Here is a 22,309-nt window from a genome sequence, read left to right as displayed (position 1 = left end):
GTCCTTCTCACTTTTTTCCATGAAACAATGGTAGTAACACACAAAGTAGTTGTTTTTAAACATATCTTTACATGGTTTAAAAAAAAAAGGTTGGCAACTGTATATTAATCCATGAAATAGGTCATGAAATTCAAGTCAAGGAAACACTAGGCTAAGTTATAGATACTACAGTGATATTTATAGCAGAAACTCTGGTGTATTGTTGTTCTTATTCACAATTATACTGGGTTTTATACATAAAGAGGCAGCATGGATTAGTGGTTAAGTGGCAAACAACATGGGCTTTGGATTTAGATAGCCTGAAGTGGGAATCTGGCTCTCTGCCTCCAGGCAGCTCTGAGAGTTTAGGCAATTTACCTAATCTCTCCAAGCCACAGTTTCTTCTTCCTTAAAATTAGGGTAACAAGGCCAGGTGCGTTGGCTCACTCCTGTAATCCCAGCACTTTGGGAGGCGGAGGCAGGCGGATCACCTGAGGTCAGGAGTTCGAGACCAGCCTGACCAACATGGAGAAACCCGTCTCTACTAAAAATACAAAATTAGCTGGGCGTGGTGGCGCATGCCTGTAATCCTGGCTACTCGGGAGGCTGAGGCAGGAGAATTGCCTAATTGCTTGAACCCAGGAGGCGGAGGTTGCGGTAAGCCGAGATTGTGCCACTGCACTCCAGCCTGGGCAACAAGAGCGAAACTCCATCTCAAAAAAAGAAAAAATTAAGGTAACAATAGTGCCCACGGTATAAAGTTGTTCTCAAAATTAAATGATAAAGCACTTTGTATAATATTTAGTCAATTATAAATATCCAACAAATGGTAGGTGTTATTATTTTATGCACTTATTTACTTAGTACATTCAAGTAGTACCATATTTTAATCTTTTCTAATAGCAAGGTAGACATTTTAAGTTAACAATCCTAAGGAAGAGGGATCAGTCAGTTCTTTTATTTCTTATTTTCAATATATTCCATAATTTGACAGGATCATTCAGTTCTGACTGGGTTAATACTAACAAATGGGTCAATGATAATAAATATATAATCTGAGGAAGCATTTAGCTATTATGGTTGTTCCATATAAGTGTTTATATATTGCTCTATATATTGTTTATCCTGTAACTGTGTGTGCCTCTTATAGAAAACAATTTACAAATATGGATGCAACACAAAGAACACAGTATTAATACAGGGCAAAAATAAGATCAGATATAAGTTTGTACTGTATATACACCAGAATTCTCCCCGAATGTGGGGATGTTCAATAGGCATTCAAAAAGAAGGGCCCATGGTCAGAGTTTAGGAAATGCTGTGGTTTTGTTTTGTTTTGTTTTGAGACGGAGTTTCACTCTGTCGCCCAGGCTGGAGTGCAGTGGCGTGATCTCGGCTTACTGCAAGCTCTGCCTCCTGGGTTCAAGCCATTCTCCTGCCTCAGCCTCCTGAGTAGCTGGGACTACAGGTGCCTGCCACCACGCCTGGCTAATTTTTTTGTATTTTTTAGTAGAGACAGGGTTTTACCATCTCTTGATGGTCTTGATCTCCTGACCTCATGATCCACCACCCGCCTTGGCCTCCCGAAGTGCTGGGATTACAGGCGTGAGCCACCGTGCTCAGCCAGGAAATGTTTTGAAATTAGTTTTGTAAAGCTCCAAAAAGAAATAAAATTATTGATATGGTAATGTGAACTTTGAATCTTCAGGAAAGGAAAAGTAGTATGGATCATTTTCTAAACTTTTTTGAGCACAGAACCCTTCTTCCTCTGATCATTTCATAGGAATACACTGTGGGAAGTGCTGGATCCAACTACCGCTAAAAATGAAATTAAATCAACATGGAGTTGGGAGTATGATGGTGGGAAATAATTTCCGTTTCTCTTTACAGATTTCATGGAGGGAAAAAAATTTCAGTAAGACTCAGAAAGAAGAAATGAAATGTGTTAAAACAAACAAACAAAACAGACACAGCAGTTAGAAGGAAGCACATTCAGAGATTATCACCAGGAGACATACATGGTCAAGTAAGGATAAACAGGAGACCAGCTTTTGAAAACAGAAGAGAGAGCTTTTAAAAGAAAAACATGGCCAGGCACAGTGGCTCACGCCTGTAATCCCAGCACTTTGGGAGGCTGAAGCAGGTGGATCATGAGGTCAGGAGATTAAGACCATCTTGGCTAACATGGTGAAACCCCATCTCTACTAAAAATACAAAAAATTAGCCGGACATGGTAGCACGCACCTGTAGTCCCAGCTATTTGGGAGGCTGAGGCAAGAGAATTGCTTGAACCCGGGAGGCGGAGGCTGCAGCGAGCCGAGATCGCGCCACTGCACTCCAGCCTGGGCAACAGAGCGAGACTCTGTCTCAAAGAAAGAAAGAAAGAAAGAAAAGAAAGGAAGGAAAGGAAAGGAAAGGAAGAAAGAAAGAAAGAGAGAGAGAGAAAAAGAAAAGAAAAGAAAAGAAAGAAAGAAAAACGTGTGTTAACAAGAAAGTAATAATCAACCATTTAGGCAAATTATCCTTAATCTTCAAGCATGTTCAATTATTACAGTTCTTAATGGGTTAAGAAACTAAAATTCTAAGTTGTCTAAGTTTAGATCCCATAGAGCAATAAAGATTTACTTACTTCACTAGAGCAGCTGCTTCAGGAAGTACATCAGCAAATGATTCACGGAATATGATTGCATTTTTCCTTTTACAGTTCTGTATGACATCATTGGCAAGGTAAAAGAGATTCAAACGGTGGGGATATGCAGCTAGAGATGACAAAAGACAATAAATAAAACCAAATGAGTCAATTTGCACTTAGTTCAACTTATTCCAAATACAGTGTTCTCAAACTGTAACTGGTTATTTTTTTTTTCTTACATGGATATAAAAAGATGAATGTAATTACATGGATGGAAGGGAGGAAGGATGGATGGATAAACCGACAAATGAACTAATGGATGGAAGGGAGGCTGGATGGATAAACTGACAAATGAACTAATGGATCAGTTTACCAAACATACTAAAAACCTTGACTACTTCACGTTAAGTTTCTGTTCAAGGTACTCCTCAAGGACATTTCTCCCTCACTTTGTAGATGTTTGGCACTAAAAAAAAAGACCCAGTAACTCTGGAGAAGCTAAAATAAAACAAAATTATAGTCTCAAACATCTGAGAAGACAAAAAAAAAATGAGTTGAACATGCTCAACTTGTTGCAGAAATACCAAGGTTAGTAGAAAGAGCATGGGCTTTGTAATCAAATCAGAATGTGACCTCAAGCAAATTGCTTAACATTTATTACAGATAGACCCTCTCCCCATCAACCAATCCAGATACTACTCAGATACGTCTTAGTCTTCCCATCTACTGGAGGGAGGCTCTGCTGCTGCTTTCATCACTAGACGAATGTCCTGCAAAATAATATGATCCTATGTATGCATCTAGGTTAAGCTTTTCTTCTTCTTCTTTTTGTTTTTTTTTTTTTTTTTTTGGAGATGGAGTCTCACTCTGTCGCCCAGGCTACAGTGAAGTGGCGCAATCTCAGCTCACTGCAACCTCCGCCTCCTGGGCTCAAGCAATTCTCCTGTCTCAGCCTCCCAAGTAGATGGGACTACAGGTGTGCACTACCACGCCCAGCTAATTTTTTTGTATTTTTGGTAGAGATAGGGTTTTATTATGTTGGCCAGGCTGATCTCAAACTCCTGACTTCAGGTGATCTGCCTGCTTTGGCCTCCCCAAAGTGCTGGGATTACAGGTGTGAGCCACCACACCCAGTCGGTTAAGTTTTTCAATGGTTCATGACAAAGCCCCATCAATGTACTATCTGGAACCCTGAGCAAAGTCACCTTAAATTTCATTATTATGCTGGGTAATTTCAATGTCTATATGGATGATCTACCATGTTTTCTTGTCTCTCAGTTCCTTGACCTCACATTCGGTGACCTCCAAGAACCACTCCTTTGTACATTTTAAAATCTCCTTCTCTGATCACAACCTCCCACTCCTATTATACTTGTTCTTCAATTTCATCAAGATCTCAGCTTTTTATTTTCTCTAACTCTACATTCTCTTCTCAGTACTCAATTCTTCATCAATTCCAGAGTCTCTGTCCATTATTTAAACCAATATTTTATTAAAACCCTCATACTCTTGTCCTTCTCCCTAATTCAGCCTTCTATCTCATGTGCTCAATGAAATCCCAAATTTGGATCAATCTAACTAACTGCATTTACTGCACCTTTATTTCTGCTGCTGGGTTCTAAAATCACATACAAAAAATTAAATCATACGAATTAAAAGTCTCCTTCTTCACCTGGGCCCGCAATGCTACATACAGTCCCTCCACATGTGCTTAGTCAGCATCCTCTCTCAAAGAACTATTTCAAATTTTAACCACTTGTCAGGCCCGAATCTTTACCACATCTCTTCTTCTCACTCTCAGGAGATAAGCTTATATGCTGTTTCACAGAGAAGGCAAAAATCATTAAATGGAAATTATCTTGTCACAAAAAATGTATCCATATTTAAACTCACCTAGATCAATTTACCTAGTAAAAAGCATCACTCCTATTAAAGAGTAATCCTTCCACTACGTACTGTTTCCTAGACTCTATTCACACCTTGAGAACCTTATGCTCCATTAACTATGCTTGCTTCTTTTTTTGTGTTTTTTGTTTATTTGGAGACAGGGTCTCACTCCTGTCACCTAGGCTGGGGTGCAGTGGTGCGATCACAGTTCACTGCAGCCTCCTTGGGCTCAGGTGATCCTCCCACCTCAAGCCTCTCGAGTAGCTGGGACTTCAGGCATGCCACCATGCCTGGCTAATTTTTTTTTGTATTTTTAGTAGAGACAAGGGTTTGCCATGTTGCCCAGGCTGGTCCTGTACTCCTGGGCTCAAGCAATCTGCCCGCCTCAGCCTCCCAAATTGCTGGGATTACAGGCATGAACTACTGCACCTGGCTTATCCTCGCTTCTTGTATTTTAATTTGATTCTTATTTGTATTTACTTATTAATTATTATTATTATTATTTTTGAGACAGTTTCACTCGTCGCCCAGGCTAGAGTGCAATGGCACAATCTCGGCTCACTGCAACCTCCGCCTCACGGGTTCAAGCTATTCTCCTGCCTTAGCCTCCCGAAGTAGCTGGGATTACAGGCACCTGCCACCAAGCCCAGCTAATTTTTTTGTATTTTTAGTAGAGATGGAGTTTCACTATGTTATGCTGGCAGGCTGGTCTTGAAATCCTGACCTCAGGTGATCCACCTGCCTTGGCCTCCCAAAGTGCTGGAATTACAGGCATAAGCCACCGCACCCGACCTCTTATTTATATTTATATATTTATATTGTATTCCTTCAGGCTGTCTCTCAACATATGTATATGCACGTCTCTCCTATCTTAAAGTTTTCTTGTGACCACCTTAGGTTACCCCTAGCCTTTCCTTCCTTGCCTAATGTTAGTTAAGACCTTTTAGGGTGAAGAGTCTGAAAGAGTTTTGTATACTCACTGTCTACACTTTTAACTCCCATTAACTCCATAATTATAGGAGCCACTCTTTTATTGCACTTATGCAATCTACCATGCTAAGAGCTTTTTATAAATTGTTATCTCATTTATGTTGCGAACAGTTCACTCAAACACCAATTTTCAAGGTTACTAACAAATTCCAATTTACTAAACTCAATGGAGATTTTTTTTTAATGTTATTTCTTTATAGCTTTGGCGCGCAGAATAATCTGTCACAGTACTTTCTCCTTTGGCTTCTCTCTTAACCACTCTCCTGGTTTTCATCCTACCTCTCCGGGTCCTCCTCTAGAATCATGTATAGGTAGCCAGTCTGGCCGTGATCATCCTCATTTAAATGTTGATGTTCTCCAGGATTCTCTCCTGAGCACTCTTCTCTACTCATAGCATAGTGTTTTAAGATTTCAGGCTGTAAGTCAATCTTTTCCATTTCTGGCTCTGTCACTTGTTAGCTTTGGAGTCTTTTACATTACTTAACTCTTCTCTATGTTGCTTTCCTTTGTAAAATGACAACCTTACAGGATTGTTAGAAGAACTAAATAAAACAATGTATGTAAAACAATTAAGATAGGGCTTAATACACAGCAAATGGAATGCTATCAGCATAATCACCTCCTTCTAGTTGCTTTAACTACTTCAACCTATGTATCAATGACTCCCATATCTGTAGATATCAAGCCTGGATTTCCCTTTACCAGTCAATGTACACATCCACTTCAAAGTCTCCGAGGCACCCTGAGCTTGATTTTAATTTTTTTTTTCTTCTGTCACCCAGGCTGGAATGCAGTCACAATCTTGGCTCACTGAAACCTCTGCCTCCTGGGTTCAAGTGATCCTCCCACCTCAGCCTCCCAAATAGCTGGGACTACAGTCACATGCCACCATGTCTGGCTAATTTTTTTTTTTTCTTTTTGAGATGGAGTTTCGCTCTTGTTGCCCAGGCTGGAGCGCAATGGCATGATCTCAGCTCACCGCAACCTCTGCCTCCTGGGTTCAAGCGATTCTCCTGCCTCAGCCTCCCGAGTAGCTGGGATTACAGGCATGCGTCACCATGCCTGGCTAATTTTGTAGTTTAAGTAGAGACGGGGTTTCTCTATGTTGGTCAGGCTGGTCTTGAGCTCCTGTCCTCAAGGAATCCACCAGCCTTGGCCTCCCAAAGTGCTGAGATTACGAACATGAGCCACTGCACCTGGCTGATTTTAATATTTTATTTTATTGTAATTTATTTATTTATTGAGACAGAGTTTCACTCTTGTTGCCCAGGCTGGAGTGCAATGGCACGATCTCAGCTTACCGCAACCTCTGCCTCCCAGGTTCAAGCGATTCTCCTGCCTCAGCCTCCTGAGTAGCTGGGATTACAGGCATGCGCCACCGCACCCAGCTAATTTTTTTGTATTTTTAGTAGAGATGGGGTTTCTTCATGTTGGCCAGCCTGGTCTCAAACTCCCGACCTCAGGTGATCCGCCTGCCTCGGCCTCCCAAAGTGCTGGAATTACAGGCGTGAGCCACAGCGCCTGGCCTTATTATTTTATTAATCATCTTCCTCTTTTTCTATCTGTTACTACTCTTTAGTCAGAATTTTAGCAATTCTGACTCCTTCTCCTCCTTATCCCCCTACACCTATTAATAAATCTCCAAACTCTAGCCAATTTTGTCCCCAATAATATTTCTCAACTTTATCCCCTCTTGTCTTTCCCTTCCTACTATTGCTGTTTTCTGGGTTTCATCACCGTTGACCTGAACCACCCCTGCAACAGGTTCCTAGTCATCTGCCCCTAGACTTGCTCCCCTTAAATTTCCTCCCTATATTGTTGCCAAATTTATTTTTCTTTTCTTTTTTTTATCTTCCTTCCTTCCTTTTTTTTTAAGAAAAGATCAGATTTATTTGGAGAAAACAAAAAACCCACAGCCCAAAGGATGCGATTTTATATCTCAAGACATCTCCCAGGTATTAAGTCTACAGATTACAAATCATTTTCATAGAAAGTATTTTTGTATAAATTTTACATGCATTCAGGAATGGGACATAAATCAATCCCCGTTTCTATTTTAACAGGGGAGCAAGGTAGGGAAGTGGGAGCCAAATTCATTTTCAAATATGCAAAATTGTCCAATTATTTATCATATCAAATCTGTCAATGATTTCGCACTGCTCAATGGAAAAAGCTGAAACACTTTAGCTTCCTTTATAATCTGCATCCTGCCTTCTCTTCCAGTCTCATTTCTTCACCCTCAAATTCAAAGTTCCATCTTTAATGAATTACTCACAATTGCCAAAAACCCTGCTACCTTGTGTTTTCTCTTTTAGTCAGAATTTTCCTTTTCTAGGATAACTCATCCTAAACCGTTTTCAGTGGTTTTCTACTCATCCATAGGAAAACGTCCAAAATTTTAAATTTAACTCATGTCAGTTTCTGACCACCCCCATGTTAAATCTCTACTTCTTCCCGCAAACCACCCCAAACTATTTTATTACTATTTCTCCTCAATGCAAACTCTCCACTCTAGTCAGAGCACTTTGGAAATTCTGGAGGAATGAAAAAAAGTGGTTGAGGTAATCTGGGAAAATGCTTAAAGGCAGTGGTCTTTAAGCACCCTATACTTTTACCTACTATAGCATTTATCACATTGTAGTGTACTTGTCTGTATCCTCACTGGATTATAAGCATCCAGAAGACTGGAATTTCTCTTGTTTACTGCCTTATTCTTTTTTTTGGAGACTTAGTCTCACTCTATCGCCCAGGCCAGAGTGCGGTGGTGTGATTTCGGCTCACTGCAACCTTCGCCTCACAGGTTCAAGTGATTCTTGTGCCTCAGCCTCTCCAGCAGCTGGGATTACAGGCGCTTGCCACCATGCCCGGCTAATTTTTGTATTTTTAGTAGACAGGGTTTACCACGTTGGCCACGCTGGTCTCGAACTCCTGACCTCAAGCAATCCACCCACCTTAGCCTCCCAAAGTGCTGGGATTACAGGCGTGAGCCACCGCGCCTAGCCTACTGCCTTCTTCTTTTGTTTGTTTCGTTTTTTTTTTTTTTTTTTTTTTTTTTTTGAGACAGTCTAGCTCTGTCGTCCAGGCTAGAGTGCAGTGGCGCGATCTTGGCTCACTGCAACCTCCGCCTCCCAGGTTCAAGCAATTCTCTTGCTTCAGCTTCCTGAGTAACTGGGACTATGGGTGCGCATCACCACGCCTGGCTAATTTTTGTATTTTCAGTAGAGACGGGGTTTCATCATGTTGGTCAGGCTGGTCTAAAACTCCTGACCTCAGGTGATCCACCTGCCTTGGGCCTCCCAAAGTGCTGGGATTACAGGCGTGAGCCACCGCGCCTAGTGTACTGCCTTCTTCTTTTGTTTGTTTCGTTTTTTTTTTGTTTTTTTTTTTGAGACAGTCTAGCTCTGTTGTCCAGGCTAGAGTGCAGTGGCGCGATCTCGGCTCACTGCAACCTCCGCCTCCCAGGTTCAAGCAATTCTCTTGCTTCAGCTTCCTGAGTAACTGGGACTACGGGTGCGCATCAGCACGCCTGGCTAATTTTTGTATTTTTAGTAGAAACGGGGTTTCATCATGTTGGTCAGGCTGGTCTAAAACTCCTGACCTCAGGTGATCCACCCGCCTTGGACCTCCCAAAGTGCTGGGATTACAGGCATGAGCCACTGCGCCCCGCCTATAATTTTTAACTTATTTAATACTTTCTATATGCCAGGGACTGTTTAAAGAGGATACAGATATTAACTTACATCCTCACCACAATTCTATGAGGTTGGTACCAGCCTGAGCAACACAATAAGACGCTATCTCTCCAAAAAAAAATTTTAAGTTAGCCAGGCGTAATTGCATAACTGTAGTCCTGTTACTCAGAGGCTGACGTGGGAGGATCACTTGAGCCTGCGAGGCTGAGGGTGCAATGAGCCACAATCGCCCCACTGTACTCTAGTCTGTGTGACAGACTAAAGCCAGGAAGGAGCCCTGAGCCCTCACCAGAGACCAAACTGGACCTTGATCTTGAACTCTGCAACCTCTAGAACTGTGAGAAAATCGATTTCTTTGTTTAAGCCACCCAGTCTGTGGTATTTTGTTATGGCAGCCAAGCTGACTAATGCAACTGTTTAAGGAATATCCTTGTTTTTAAGAAATGAACACCAAAGTACTAAATAGGGCAGCATGTCTGCAACATATGCTCAAACAGTTCAGAAAAAAAAAGTGTGTGTGTGCCTGTAGAGAGAGCAGTAAGAGAGATAAAGCAAATATGTTAAAATGTTAATAATGGGAATCTGAGTGGAAAGTACACAGAAGGTTTCTGTAATACTCTTGAAACTTTTTTAACATCTGAAATTATTCAAAAATAACAAGTTTAAAAAACATATACAGACTCCAACCACTACTTACTACCTCCATCACTGCCTGTGGTCTAAGTCACTATCATCTTTTGCTTGAATTATTGCAGTAGCCTCCTACCTAGTCTCCCTGCTTCTACCTTTGCCTGGCTTCAGTCTAATCTCAACTCAGAAGAGAGGGTGATCCTTTAAAAATATAAATTGATCATATTATTCTACTTCTTAAATCCCTCCCATAATGGTCCCCTCTTTAACAAGAGTAAAGTTCAAAGTCCTTACAATGGCCTAGAAATCCTAAACAATCTGGCACTGTGTTATCTTCCTGACCTAATTTCTTCATCACCACTGATTCCATTGTAGCCACAGAGGCCACCTTGCTGTCTTTACAAGGCCTCCAACACACCTGGGTGAGTCCTTGCTTCACGGTCTGTTAAGCTCACTGTTCTGGAACTTTCTTCCCCCGTTTTTCTCATGGCTCGTTCAATCACCACCTTTAAATCTTGCTCAAATGTTCCTTTCTCAGTGAATATGTTCCTGACTACCTTACTTAAAACTGCAACATCAGGCCAGGTGCGGTAGCTCACGCCTATAATCCCAGCACTTTGGGAGGCCAAGATGGGTGGATCACCTGAGGTCAGGAGTTCAAGACCAGCTTGACCAACATGGTGAAACCCCCTCTCTACTAAAAATACAAAAATTAGCCGGGTGTGGTGGCATGCGTCTGTAATCCCAGCTGCTGAGGAGGCTGAGGCTGAATCGCTTGAACCCAGAGGCGGAGGTTACAGTGAGCCAAGATTGCGCCACTGCACTTCAGCCTGGGTGAAAGAGCAAGACTCCGACTCAAAAAAAAAAAAAAAAAAAGAATTGCAACATCAAGCCAACAACACTCTTACCACCCTTCTTTGCTTTATTCTCCCAAATAACACATAATTTTCCAATATACTATACAATTTATTTTTTGCCTATCTCCCCCACGAGAATATAGGCTCATAAGGGAAAGGATTTTTGTCAGTTTTATTTACTGCTGAATTCTCAGCACCTAGAATAGTGCTTAACACTTAGTTGGCGTTCAGTAACTACTTCTTGAATAAATAAATTAGGAAAAAAAAAGAGAAGGAAGACAAGAAAAGGGGAAAAATAGAGTAGTCCTCTATTCAGTTTGGCTAACAATCCCCTAAGACTTCTCTGTAAATGCACAGCATTAGGTAGGGGCTAGGTACAATGAGGTATTCTAGGGGCTGTTGCAGAAGTTAATCTAGATATAGTCAGTGTTCTCACAACATCAATTCCTCAACAATCTACAAGCTAAGCATTCAGCTTTAATTATTATGCAGAAGGGGAAAGGAATTAACAATAGGAAACTGGAAGGTTACTGATTTAAGTCTAAGTACCTACAAAATAAAACTGTTAACTTGGTAGGAGACGGGTTAGATAATTTTTAACTTGAATTATTTACATTTTATGTCTACCTTGCCTTGTTCCAACAATGGGCTAAGACAGCTGATACAGTGTTTTCAATCCATGTAGTCTTTACAGAAAACAAGCATTATGGTATAATGGAAAGGGCATCAGCACGAGAGTCCAAAGATCTGAGATGTAACCCCTGAAAAAGATTCATTTTCATTAGCTTAGGTCTGTCTTCATTTGCAAAACAGGCTGTAGAAAGGAAAAACAAAAAGAAGAAAAAGCCACATGGACAAAAATGTTATTTATAGTTGTAGAAAAACTAGAAGCAACCTAAAGAATAGTAACAGGGGAATAGTTAGGTAAAGGTGCATCCATATTACGTGGATAATAAGTACATGTCTATAAATAACATGAAGATGCTTGCATGAGAGTTAGTGAAAACACAGGAAAGAAAAATGTACATATACCATTATGTAAAACACTATTTAAATGTATATGTAAAGGTACATCCATATTATATGGATGATAAGTACATGTCTGTAAATAACATGAAGATGCTTGCATGAGAGTTCGTGAAAACACAGGAAAGAAAAATGTACATATACCATTATGTAAATTATGTAAATACACTATTTAAATGTATAGGCGGGCCAGGCGCGGTGGCTCATGCCTATAATCCCAGCACTTTGGGAGGCCGAGGCGGATAGATCACCTGAGGTCAGGAGTTTGAGCCCAGCATGACCAACATGGTGAAACTAAAAATACAAAAATTAGCTGGCCGTGGTGGCGGGTACCTGCAATCCCAGATACTCGGGAGGCTGAGGCAGGAGAATCGCTTGAACCTGGGAGGCAGGGGTTGCAGTGAACCAAGATTGCGCCATTGCACTCCAGCCTGGACGACAGAGTGAGACTCTGTCTCCAAAAAAAAAAAAAAAAAAAAAAATCATATGAATATTTTAAAATAAATGTTATTTTCTAAACTTTCTATGTTACAATTATAATACCTTTATATAAAAAATAAAAGCATAGGCCAGGTGTGGTGGCTCACACCCATAATCCCAACATTTTGGGAGGTCAAGATGTAAGGATCGGTTGAGCCCGGGGGGTCAAGGCTGCAGTGAGCCATAGTTGTGCTACTATACTCCAGGGTGAATGACAGGGCAAGGTCCTGTCTCCACACACACAAAAAAACCCATATAAAATAACTAGTTTAGATTAGATCGTCCATAACATACCCTCTGGCTTCAATATCCTATGATTAAATAAATATTTAACTGTAAGGACACTCAGTACAAATAATGGCAGTGTCACTTGAATATTTAAATAGAAGAAAACAACATCTTTTTTCAAAGAATCTACATCTTCTCTTTAAAAAGATAAATCTCCCAACTTCCTTAAAATCACTTAGTTGCTTTGTTGAGGGTTAACAAGAAAAAATTATCTGAAAAAGTATCAAGGTAGCAGAAAGAACACTGAACTACGTAGAAAATCTGAGTGCCATACTCCTCCACCACTATGTGAGGATGAGTACATTATCATTCAAACTGTTACATTTTGAGAGTGAAAGGGCATCACATCAGGTCAGGTGGTCACATACGTTAGGCTGAGCTAAGACGCAACTAGCCTAAGTCTATGTAAAATGAATGTACTCAAAAAAGTTTCTAAGGCCCCTTTTGGATCTAAATGTTATAATTTTATTTCTTTTTTAAGAACTGAAAACACTGAACAAATGGTGCTGTATGTATAGAAGTCAGAGATGCTTTGTTTACTAAATAATGTATTTTTTAAAGGAGTACCTTAATTTCTTGCTTAGGGATTCAGACTTACAATTAAGTTTATCTGGGGAGATACTAATGAATGAACTTAAAATGTACCTTAAACTCCTCTGATGAGATGTTCTTGTTGGGACTGAGAAACAATGAGAACCCTAGCACTGTATGTGCCATACCCAATAACCAAAAGTATTATGTGAATACCATATGCTCTACAGAATGAAGTACAAAGAATATACTAATACAGAAATTAGAGACATCAAGAGATGTACATTACTAGAGGTCATACCATATTCGAACTTACAAGAATTTACTGGCTAGGCATGGTGGCTCACGCCTGTAATCCCAACACTTTGAGAGGCCGAGGCGGGCGGATCACCTGAGGTCAGGAGTTCGAGACCAGCCTGATCAACATGGAGAAACCCTGTCTCTTACTAAAAATACAAAATTAGCCGGGCGTGGTAGCACATGCTTGTAATCCCAGCTACTCGGGAAGTTGAGCCAGGAGAATCACTTGAACCCAGCAGACGGAGGTTGCAATGAGCCGAGATCACGCCATTGCACTCCAGTCTGGGCAACAAAAGCAAAACTCCATCTCAAAAAGAAAAAAAGAATTTACTTGTAAGTACTTGGCAGGGCGTGGTGGCGCATTCCTGTAATACCAGCACTTTTGGAGGCCTAGGCAGGAGGATCATTTGAGGTCAGGAGTTCAAGACTAGCTTCACTAACATGGTGAAACCCCATCTATAGTAAAAATTAGCCAGGCATGGTGGCAAATGCCTGTAATCTCAGCTACTCAAGAGGCTGAGGCAGGAGAATCACCTGAACCTGGGAGACAGAGGCTCCAGTGAGCTGAGATTGTGCCACTGCACTCTAGCCTGGGCAACAGAGAGAGACTCTTGTCTCAAAAAAATTTTTTTACCTGTAAGTACTAAGCCAGAGTGTGAGAGAGAAAACAATTAACAAGAACCCTAAACAAATATTCAGGGGTAAAGGCAATTACAGTAGTCCCTCCTTAACATGGGGGTATATGTTCTAAGACCCCTAGTGGATTCCTGAAACCAGACAGTACAGAACCTGACTGCTGTCAACGGAAACACATATCTGTTCATATATTCCACCAAAAATTTAATGCCCTTTTCATCTTAACCAAGCAGTTAATCAAGCACCGTGGCCATAACTTTTGCAGTATGAGGTGCAACAGCAAAACTAGCACGAATTTCTTTTTCCTTCTTCATCATTTCACAGATAGGAGATTCATTCTTATCACAGATCTTAGCAACTTCAGCATATGATTCATTGTCTTATTAAGAACTTTAACCTTTTCACTTAAAGGAAGCACTTAACGGCTTTTCTTTGGCATATCCAAATTAAAAGCATCACTATTCTTGCGCTTTGGGACCGTTATTAAGTAAACTAAGGATTACTTGAACACAAACACTGCAATACCCTGGCGGTCAATATAACAGGGGCACTAATGGGTGGGAAGCGTCAACAGCATGGATACAAAGGACAAAGAGAGGATTCCTGTCCCAGGCAAGATGGCATGAGATTTCATTATACTACTCAGAATGGTGCACAATTTAAAACTTATGAACTGTTTATTTCTACAATTTTCCATTTAATATTTTAGGCATGGTTAACCAGGAAAGTGAAACTGTAATTATCAGAAAGACATTTGAGGCCATAGAGAAATACTCACTGATGAAGAACCAGAAGAAATATTATCTTCATAAAGATGATGAGAGAGAGAGAAACCAGGAAGTTTGACTCTCCCTAAATCGGCTTCATGTTCCAAGCATCAAAACATTCAGCTGATTTACTCTCTTAATATGATTCAGCCTACGGAATTATATGCTACCAAATATAGCACAAATCATGCATATATATATTTCTGTACTAGGCTATTTACCAAAAAAAAATAAAAAATTTTGTCATTACTAAAAATTTCCAGTATTTTCAAGCCTAATTTCATTTTATGTACTGACTTTAGAAGCCAAGTCCTGAGTAAAATAACTTCAATATACACTGAAAGAGCCATATCTAAATTAAAAATCTGAGTAGTATGTTAACATTCATAAGGTATCAATCCACCAGTTACTTAATTTACTACTCATTTCTGTTAAACATTGTTACATATGATTATCTAGAAATCTACTAAATCAAATAGTATACATTTTCACCCAGGATCTGCGAATCACAAAAATCTGTAACAAACCATACCAAATCCTCCAAAGGAAAAACTCCAAGCATCAATTTTTCTCTATCCTGCAAACAACCCTCAGCAATACTTGACAAAATCCGTGAAATATTGGTAGATTCAATAAATTTTCATGAACTACCCGCTTCATGCAAAGCACATGCTATAATAGGTAAGAATAAGTAAGATATGGTAGTCTGAATTCAAGGGACTAATAAGCACTGAAATAACAATATGTAATAATGGAGAGACATGCACTAAAGGTGCAATAAATATTAAAATGAGGTCTAAAACCAGACTGAATTCTGGATAGGAACTCTTGAATGTAAGTTATACAGATTTTTAAAAAATATGTGACGAGGCCGGGCACAGTGGCACACACCTGTAATCCCAGCTACTCAAGAGGCTGGGGAAAGAGTACTGCTTAGGCCTACGAGTTCAGAGTTCAAAGTTTGAAGTTTGAGACTAGCCTGGGCAACATAGGGAGACCCCATTTCAAAAAAAATTTTTTTTTATTTGGATGAGATCTGATACAGCCTAGCAAAGACATCCACTTTAGCTATAAGAAACAGACTTCTTAGGCCAGGTGTGGTGGCTCACACCTGTAATCCTAGCACTTTGGGAGGCCGAGCGAGGCAGGAGGAATGCCTGAGCTTAGAAGTTCGAGACCAGCCTGGGCAACTTGGTGAAACCCTGTCTACCAAAAATACAAAAAATCAGCTGGATGCGGTGGCAAGCACCTGTGGTCCCAGCTACTCGGGAGGCTGAGGTGGGAGGATCACTTGAGCCTGGGAGGCAGAGGTTGCAGTGAGTGAAGACTGTACCACTGTACTCCAACCTGAATAACAGAGTGAGACCCCATCTCAAAAAACAAAAACAAAAAGAAAACAGCCTTGTTTAAAATTTTGAGCCTAAAAAATTATTTCAAACTAATATTTAACCACAAAACACGCGTTAATAAAAGCAAACACAAACACATAATCACACAAGTGTGGCTGCTAAATCAGCTGGGTCTTAGGTCTTTTTCAGGTTTTCTACTTCTCCTGGAGTCAATAGGGTTAATATTTTTATGGACACTTTCTCCATTTCCTCTAGGCTTTCAAATTATTAACGTAAAGTTGAACATTTATTTGTCTATAATTTTAAAAATCTCTAGACCTACAGTAAGCTTTAAGAAAACATTGGGTAAAAGAGGCCAGGTGCAGCAGTGGCTCATGCCTGTAATCCCAGCACTTTGGGAGGCCGAGGTGGGTGGAATACCTGAGTTCAAGAGTTTCAGGCCAGTTTGGGCAACCGGGCGAAATCCCATCTCTACTAAAAAAACAAAAATTAGCACACCAGTAGTGCCAGCTACTCGGAAGGCTGAGGCATGAGAATTGCTTGAACCTGGGAGGCAGAGGTTGCAGTGAGCTGGGATTGTGACACTGCACTGCAGCCTGGGCCAGAGCAAGACTCTGTCACACACAAAAAAAAATATTGGGTAAAAGAATGTGGACGCATACAATGGAATATTATCCACCCATAAGAAGGAGAAAATTCTGACGTACGCCATAATATGGATGAACCTTGCAAAGTCATTATGTTATGGAAATAACCCAGTCACAAATGAACAGATACTATATGATTCCATTACCATGACGTATCTAGGAGTAGAAAAATTCAGAGACAAAAAGTAGAATGGTGGTTGCCAGGGGCTGGGGAATGGAGAGTTATTGTTTAATGGGTATATGCGTTCAGTCTGGAAAGTGAGACGAAGTTCTGAGGATGGATGGTGGTGATGGCTGCGTAACAATGTTAATGTTCTTCATGCCACTGTACCTACACTTCAAATTGGTTAAAATGGTCAATTTTATGTTATGTGTACTTTACCACAGTTTAAAAAAACTGATAATATATATGTATGCAAGTATTAAATCACGCTATAATAATATAGCAGACATTATTCAAAATGGAACTGGGTATGTAGAGAAAGAAGGTGAAGGGTAGCTTACTTTTCATTTTATAACATATACTTAGGTTGGTACATTTATTTCACTGCAGTAAAAGATTTCACTATGAATACACCACAGTCTTATCCATTGAGCTGCTGATGGACTTTCAGGTTGTTTCCACATTTTCTTTGCTTTTCTGAAACGGGGATCTTTTTTGTTTTTGTTTTTTTGAGGCAGAGTTTCGCTCTTGTTACCCAGGCTGGAGTGCAGTGGCGCGATCTCGGCTCACCGCAACCTCCGCCTCCTGGGTTCAAGCAATTCTCCTGCCTCAGCCTCCCGAGTAATTGGGATTACAGGCCATGTGCCATCATGCCCGGCTAATTTTCGTATTTTTAGTAGAGACGGGGTTTCTCCATGTTGGTCAGGCTGGTATCGAACTCCCGACCTCAGGTGATCTGCCCACCTCGGCCTCCCAAAGTGCTGGGATTACAGGCGTGAGCCACCGCGCCCGGCTGAAACGGGGATCTTGATTTGCCACATTGTTGCCTAGGCTGGAGTGTAGTGGTGCAATCACACTTCACTGCAGCCTCAACCTCTTGGGCTTAAGTGATCCTTCCATCTCAGTCACCTGAGTAGCTGGGACCACAGGCATGTGCCACCACATGTGGCTGTTTTTATTTTTGTGTAGAGAGAAGGTCTCACTATGTTGCCCAGGCTGATCTCAAACTCCAGGGGTCAAGCGATCCTCCCATCTTGACGTCCCAAAATGCTGGGATTACAGGCGTGAGCCACCATACTTGGCTTGTTCTCTACATTTTTATATGATAAATAAAGCTGACATGAATATTTTTATATCTGTATTCTGGGGCACATGTGCAAGAGTAGAACTGCTGAACTGAAGATAGGTATGCAAATGTTTGACTTTACAATTGCCAATGTTTCCATTTAAAACCCCATCAAGGCCTGTAATCCCAGCACTTTCAGAGGCCGAGGCCAGTGGATCACAAGGTCAGGAGTTCAAGACCAGCCTGGCCAAGATGGTGAAACCCCGTCTCTACTAAAAATACAAAAAATTAGCTGGGTGTGGTGGTGGGAGTCTGTAATCCCAGCCACTCGGGAGGCTGAGGCAGAGAACTGCTTGAACCCGGGAAGCAGAGGTTGCAGTGAGCCGAGATTGTGCCACTGCACTCCAGCCTGGGTGACAGTGAGACTCTGTCTCAAAAAATTAAAAAAAAAAAAATTAAAAAAAAAAACCCCACTGGGCACGGTGGCTCACGCCTGTAATCCCAGCACTTTGGGAGGCCAAGGCAGGCGGATCACGAGGTCAGGAGATCAAGACCTTCCTGGCTAATACAGTGAAACCCCATCTCTACTAAAAATACAAAAAATTAGCCGGGCGTGGTGGCGGGTGCCTGTAGTCCCAGCTACTCAGGAGGCTGAGGCAGGAGAAGGGCGTGAAACCAGGAGGCGGCGTTTGCAGTGAGCCGAGATTGCGCCACTGCACTCCAGCCTGGGTGACAGAGTGACACTCCGTCTCAAAAAAAAAACAAAACAAAACCATCAAAAGTACTATGAAAGGGGTAATCCTAGCATGTTGGGAGGCCCAGGCAGGTGGATTGCTTGAGTCCAGGAGGTCAAGGCTGCAGTGAGCTACGATCATGCCACTACACTCCAACCTGGGCAACAAAGTAAGACTCTGCCTTTCTTTTTTGAGACGGAGTCTCGCTCTGTTGCCCAGGCTGGAGTGCAGTGGCGCAATCTCAGCTCACTGCAACCTCCGTCTCACAGGTTCAAGCAATTCTTCTGCCTTGGCGTCCCGAGTAGCTGTAACTACAGGCTTGCACCACCATACCCAGCTAATTTTTGTATGTTTAGGAGAGACAGGGTTTCACCATGTTGGCCAGGCTGGCCTCAAACTCCTGACCTCAGGTGATCCACCTACCTGAGCCTCCCAAAGTGCTGGGATTACAGGCATGAGTCACCATGCCCAGCTAAGATGCTATCTCTTTTTTTTATTTTTATGAGATGATGTCTCGCTCTGTCGCCCAGGTTGGAGTGCAGTGGCGTGATCTCGGCTCACTGCAAGCTCCACCTTCCCGGGTTCACACCATTCTCCTGCCTCAGCCTCCTGAGTAGCTGTGACTACAGGTGCCCGCCACCACACCCGGCTAATTTTCTGTAGTTTTAGTAGAGACGGAGTTTCACCGCGTTAGCCAGGATGGTCTCGATCTCCTGACCTCGTGATCCACCCACCTTGGCCTCCCAAAGTGCTGGGAGCCAGCGTGAGCCACCGCGCCCAGCCCTCTTTTTTTTAAAAAAAAAAAGTACTATGAAAGGCTCAATAAAATTCCACATTCATTTATGATAAAAAGTCTCAGAAAACTAGAAATATAAGGGAACTTCCTCAAACAAAGGACATTTATTAAAAACTTACAGCTAACATCATATATAATGGTGGAAAACCAAAAGCTATCCCCCTAAGAACAGCGGAAAAGGAAGAATGTTCACCCTCACCCTTCCTCTACACAGGGTTTCCCAACCCCAATGGCCTGTTAGGAACTGGGCCACACAGTAGGAGGTGAGTGGTGGGTGAGCGAACATTAACCCCTGAGCCCCAAATCCTGTCAGATCAGTGGCATCATTAGATTCTCATAGGAGCATAAACTCTATTGTTAACTGCGCATGCCAGGGATGTAGGCTGTGCACTCCCTATAAGAACAACGCCTGATGATCTGAGGTGGAACAGTTTCATCCCAAAACCAACCCCATCCCAGTCTCTTCCAGTTGGGAACTGCTGCCACCATCATCCTAGAAGTTTCAGCCAATGCAATAAGGCAAGGGAAAGAAAGAAAAGGTATATAGATTAGAAAGGAAGAAACTAAACCATCTCTATGTATAGACATGATTTATCCATATAGAAAAATCAGAGACCCTACAAAATAGGTACTTGAACTAATAAGTAAGTTTAGTAAGGTTGCAGGATACCAAAGTCAACTATATTCTTACACAGCAACAAACGGGGAAATTAAATTTTTCTTTAAAGAAAGTAGTACCATTTATAAGAGCATGAAAGACTTAGATTATCACCTAGTAAAATACATGCAAGATCGCTATGCTGAAAAGCAAACACTGATAAAAGAAATCAAAGATGACCTAAATAAATGGCGAGATATACCATATTTATGAAAGACTAAACATATTTAACAATTCTGCCCCCAAATTAATGTCCACATTCAATTTAGTCCTAATCAAAATCCCAGCAGGATTATTTGTAGAAATCAACAAGCTGATCCTAAAATTTATAAGGAAAAACAAAAGACCCACAATAGACAACATAGTTTTGAAAATTTTGTTAGAAGATGCATACTACCTGATTTCCATACAAGCTACAATAATCAAGGCAGCATATATATACGTGGGCAATCAATTTTTTTTTTTTTTTGAGATGGGGTCTCACTCTGTCACCCAGGCTGGAGTGCAGTGGCGTGATCTCTGCTCACCGCAACCTCTGCCTCCTAGGTTTAAGCAATTCTCCTGCCTCAGCCTCCCAAGTAGCTGGGATTACAGGCGCCCACCATCACACCTGGCTAATTTTTCTATTTTTAGTAGAGATGAGGTCTCACCATGTTGGCCAGGCTGGTCTCGAACTCCTGACCTCAGGTGATCCACCCGCCTCAGCCTCCCAAAATGCTGGGATTACAGGCATGAGCCACCGCGCCCAGCCGGCAATCGATTTTTTACAAAGGTGCAAGATGCATAGACAATTTAATGATGAAAGGACTGGCTTCTCAATAAATGGTGCTCGAACAATTGGATACCCATTTTAAAAAATTGAGCCATATCTCATGCTATTTGCAAAAATTAATTCAAAATGCATTATAGACCTAAGGTAAAACCTAACTATAAAACTTCTATGCCTGTAATCCCAGCACTTTGGGAGGCCAAGGTGGGAGGATTGCTTGAGCCCAGGAGTTTGAGACCAGCCTAGGCAACATAGGAAGACCTTTCTCTATAAAGAAAAATTAAAAGATAACCGAGGTGAGGAGGCTTGCGTCTGTGATCCCAGCTACTCCAAAGGATGGGGTGGGAGGATCCCTAGAGCCTAGGTGGTTGAGGCTGCAGTGAGCTATATGGCACCACTGCACTCCAGCCTGGGTAACCAAGTGGGACCCTTTCTCAAAAAATAAACTAATTAAAATAAATAAAACTTCTGTAAGAAAATATAGAAGAAATTCTTTATGACTTTGAATTAAAGGATTTCTTATATGTAACGAAAATATCATCTGTTAACATTTTTAAAATAAACTGGACTTCATCAAAATTAAGAAATTATTGCTTTTTTAAAAATGCTGTTAAGGCCGGGTGTGGTGTCTCATGCCTGTAACCACAGCACTTTGGGAGGCTGAGGAGGGTGGATCACTTGAGGTCAGGAGTTCGAGACCAGCCTGGCCGACATGGTGAAACCCGGTTGCTACAAAAATACAAAAATTAGCTAGGCATGGTGGTGCGCACCTGTAATCCCAGCTACTCCGGAGGCTGAAGGAGGAGAATGGCTTAAACCCAGGAGGCGGAGATTGTAGTGAGCCGAGTTCACACCACTGCACTGCAGTCTGGGTGACAGAGTGAGACTCTGTCAGAAAAAAGGGAAAGGGAAAGGGAAAGGAAGGAAGGAAAGAAGGAAGGAAATAAAATAAAATAAAATAGGCCAGGCACGGTGGCTCACGCCTGTAATCCCAGCACTTTGGGAGGCCAAGGTGGGCAGATCACGAGGTCAGGAGATCGAGACCATCCTGGCTAACACAGTGAAACCCCGTCTCTACTAAAAATACAAAAAATTAGCCAGGCGTGGTGGCAGGCACCTGTAGTCCCAGCTACTTGGGAGGCTGAGGCAGGAGAATGGCGTGAACCTGGGAGGCAGAGCTTGCAGTGAGCCGAGATCGCGCCACTGCACTCCAGCCTGGGCAATAGAGCGAGACTCCGTCTCAAAAAAAATAAAATAAAATAAAATAAATATAAAAACACAAAAATTAGCCAGGCATAGTGGCAGGTGCCTGTAATTCCAGCTACTGCGGGGTGGGGGTGGGGTGGGGTGCTGAGGCAGGAGAATGGCTTGAACCTGGGAGACAGAGGTTGCTGTGAGACAAGATCATGCCACTGCACTCCAGCCTGGGCAA

At 41.7% G+C, this 22,309-nt stretch overlaps 1 protein-coding gene across 16 annotated transcripts in view, besides 1 other annotated feature; it reads right to left on the bottom strand.

Annotated features, from left to right (window-relative positions):
• The window catches only part of RPRD2 (regulation of nuclear pre-mRNA domain containing 2), a 112,420-nt gene that overhangs the window by 56,233 nt on the left and 33,878 nt on the right, over positions 1 to 22,309 (bottom strand). For 13 of the 16 annotated variants that reach the window (NM_001387121.1, NM_015203.5, NM_001387120.1 and 10 more), the window contains exon 2: positions 2,609 to 2,738. Coding sequence is in view for 12 of the 16 variants with exons in the window: in NM_015203.5 (NP_056018.2) it covers positions 2,609 to 2,738 (130 nt within the window). In the remaining 4 variants the exon portion in view is untranslated. Of the gene's footprint in view, positions 1 to 2,223; positions 2,346 to 2,608; positions 2,739 to 11,294; positions 11,429 to 22,309 lie in introns of all 16 variants that reach the window. The other 3 variants (NM_001387124.1, NM_001387123.1, NM_001387122.1) reach the window with 3 other exon arrangements.
• Positions 8,751 to 8,974: a silencer, noted in NCBI's record as "fragment chr1:150383836-150384059 (GRCh37/hg19 assembly coordinates)". NCBI's record gives its function as "represses an EF-1alpha promoter that drives an FKBP-Casp9 reporter gene in an ReSE screen in K562 erythroleukemia cells {active_cell/tissue: K562}" and the evidence as "EXISTENCE:reporter gene assay evidence [ECO:0000049][PMID:32094911]".

The sequence above is a fragment of the Homo sapiens genome, chromosome 1, assembly GCF_000001405.40.
Source record: "Homo sapiens chromosome 1, GRCh38.p14 Primary Assembly".
Taxonomy (NCBI): Eukaryota; Metazoa; Chordata; class Mammalia; order Primates; family Hominidae; genus Homo; species Homo sapiens.
This window is presented reverse-complemented; position numbering and strand designations above follow the sequence as displayed.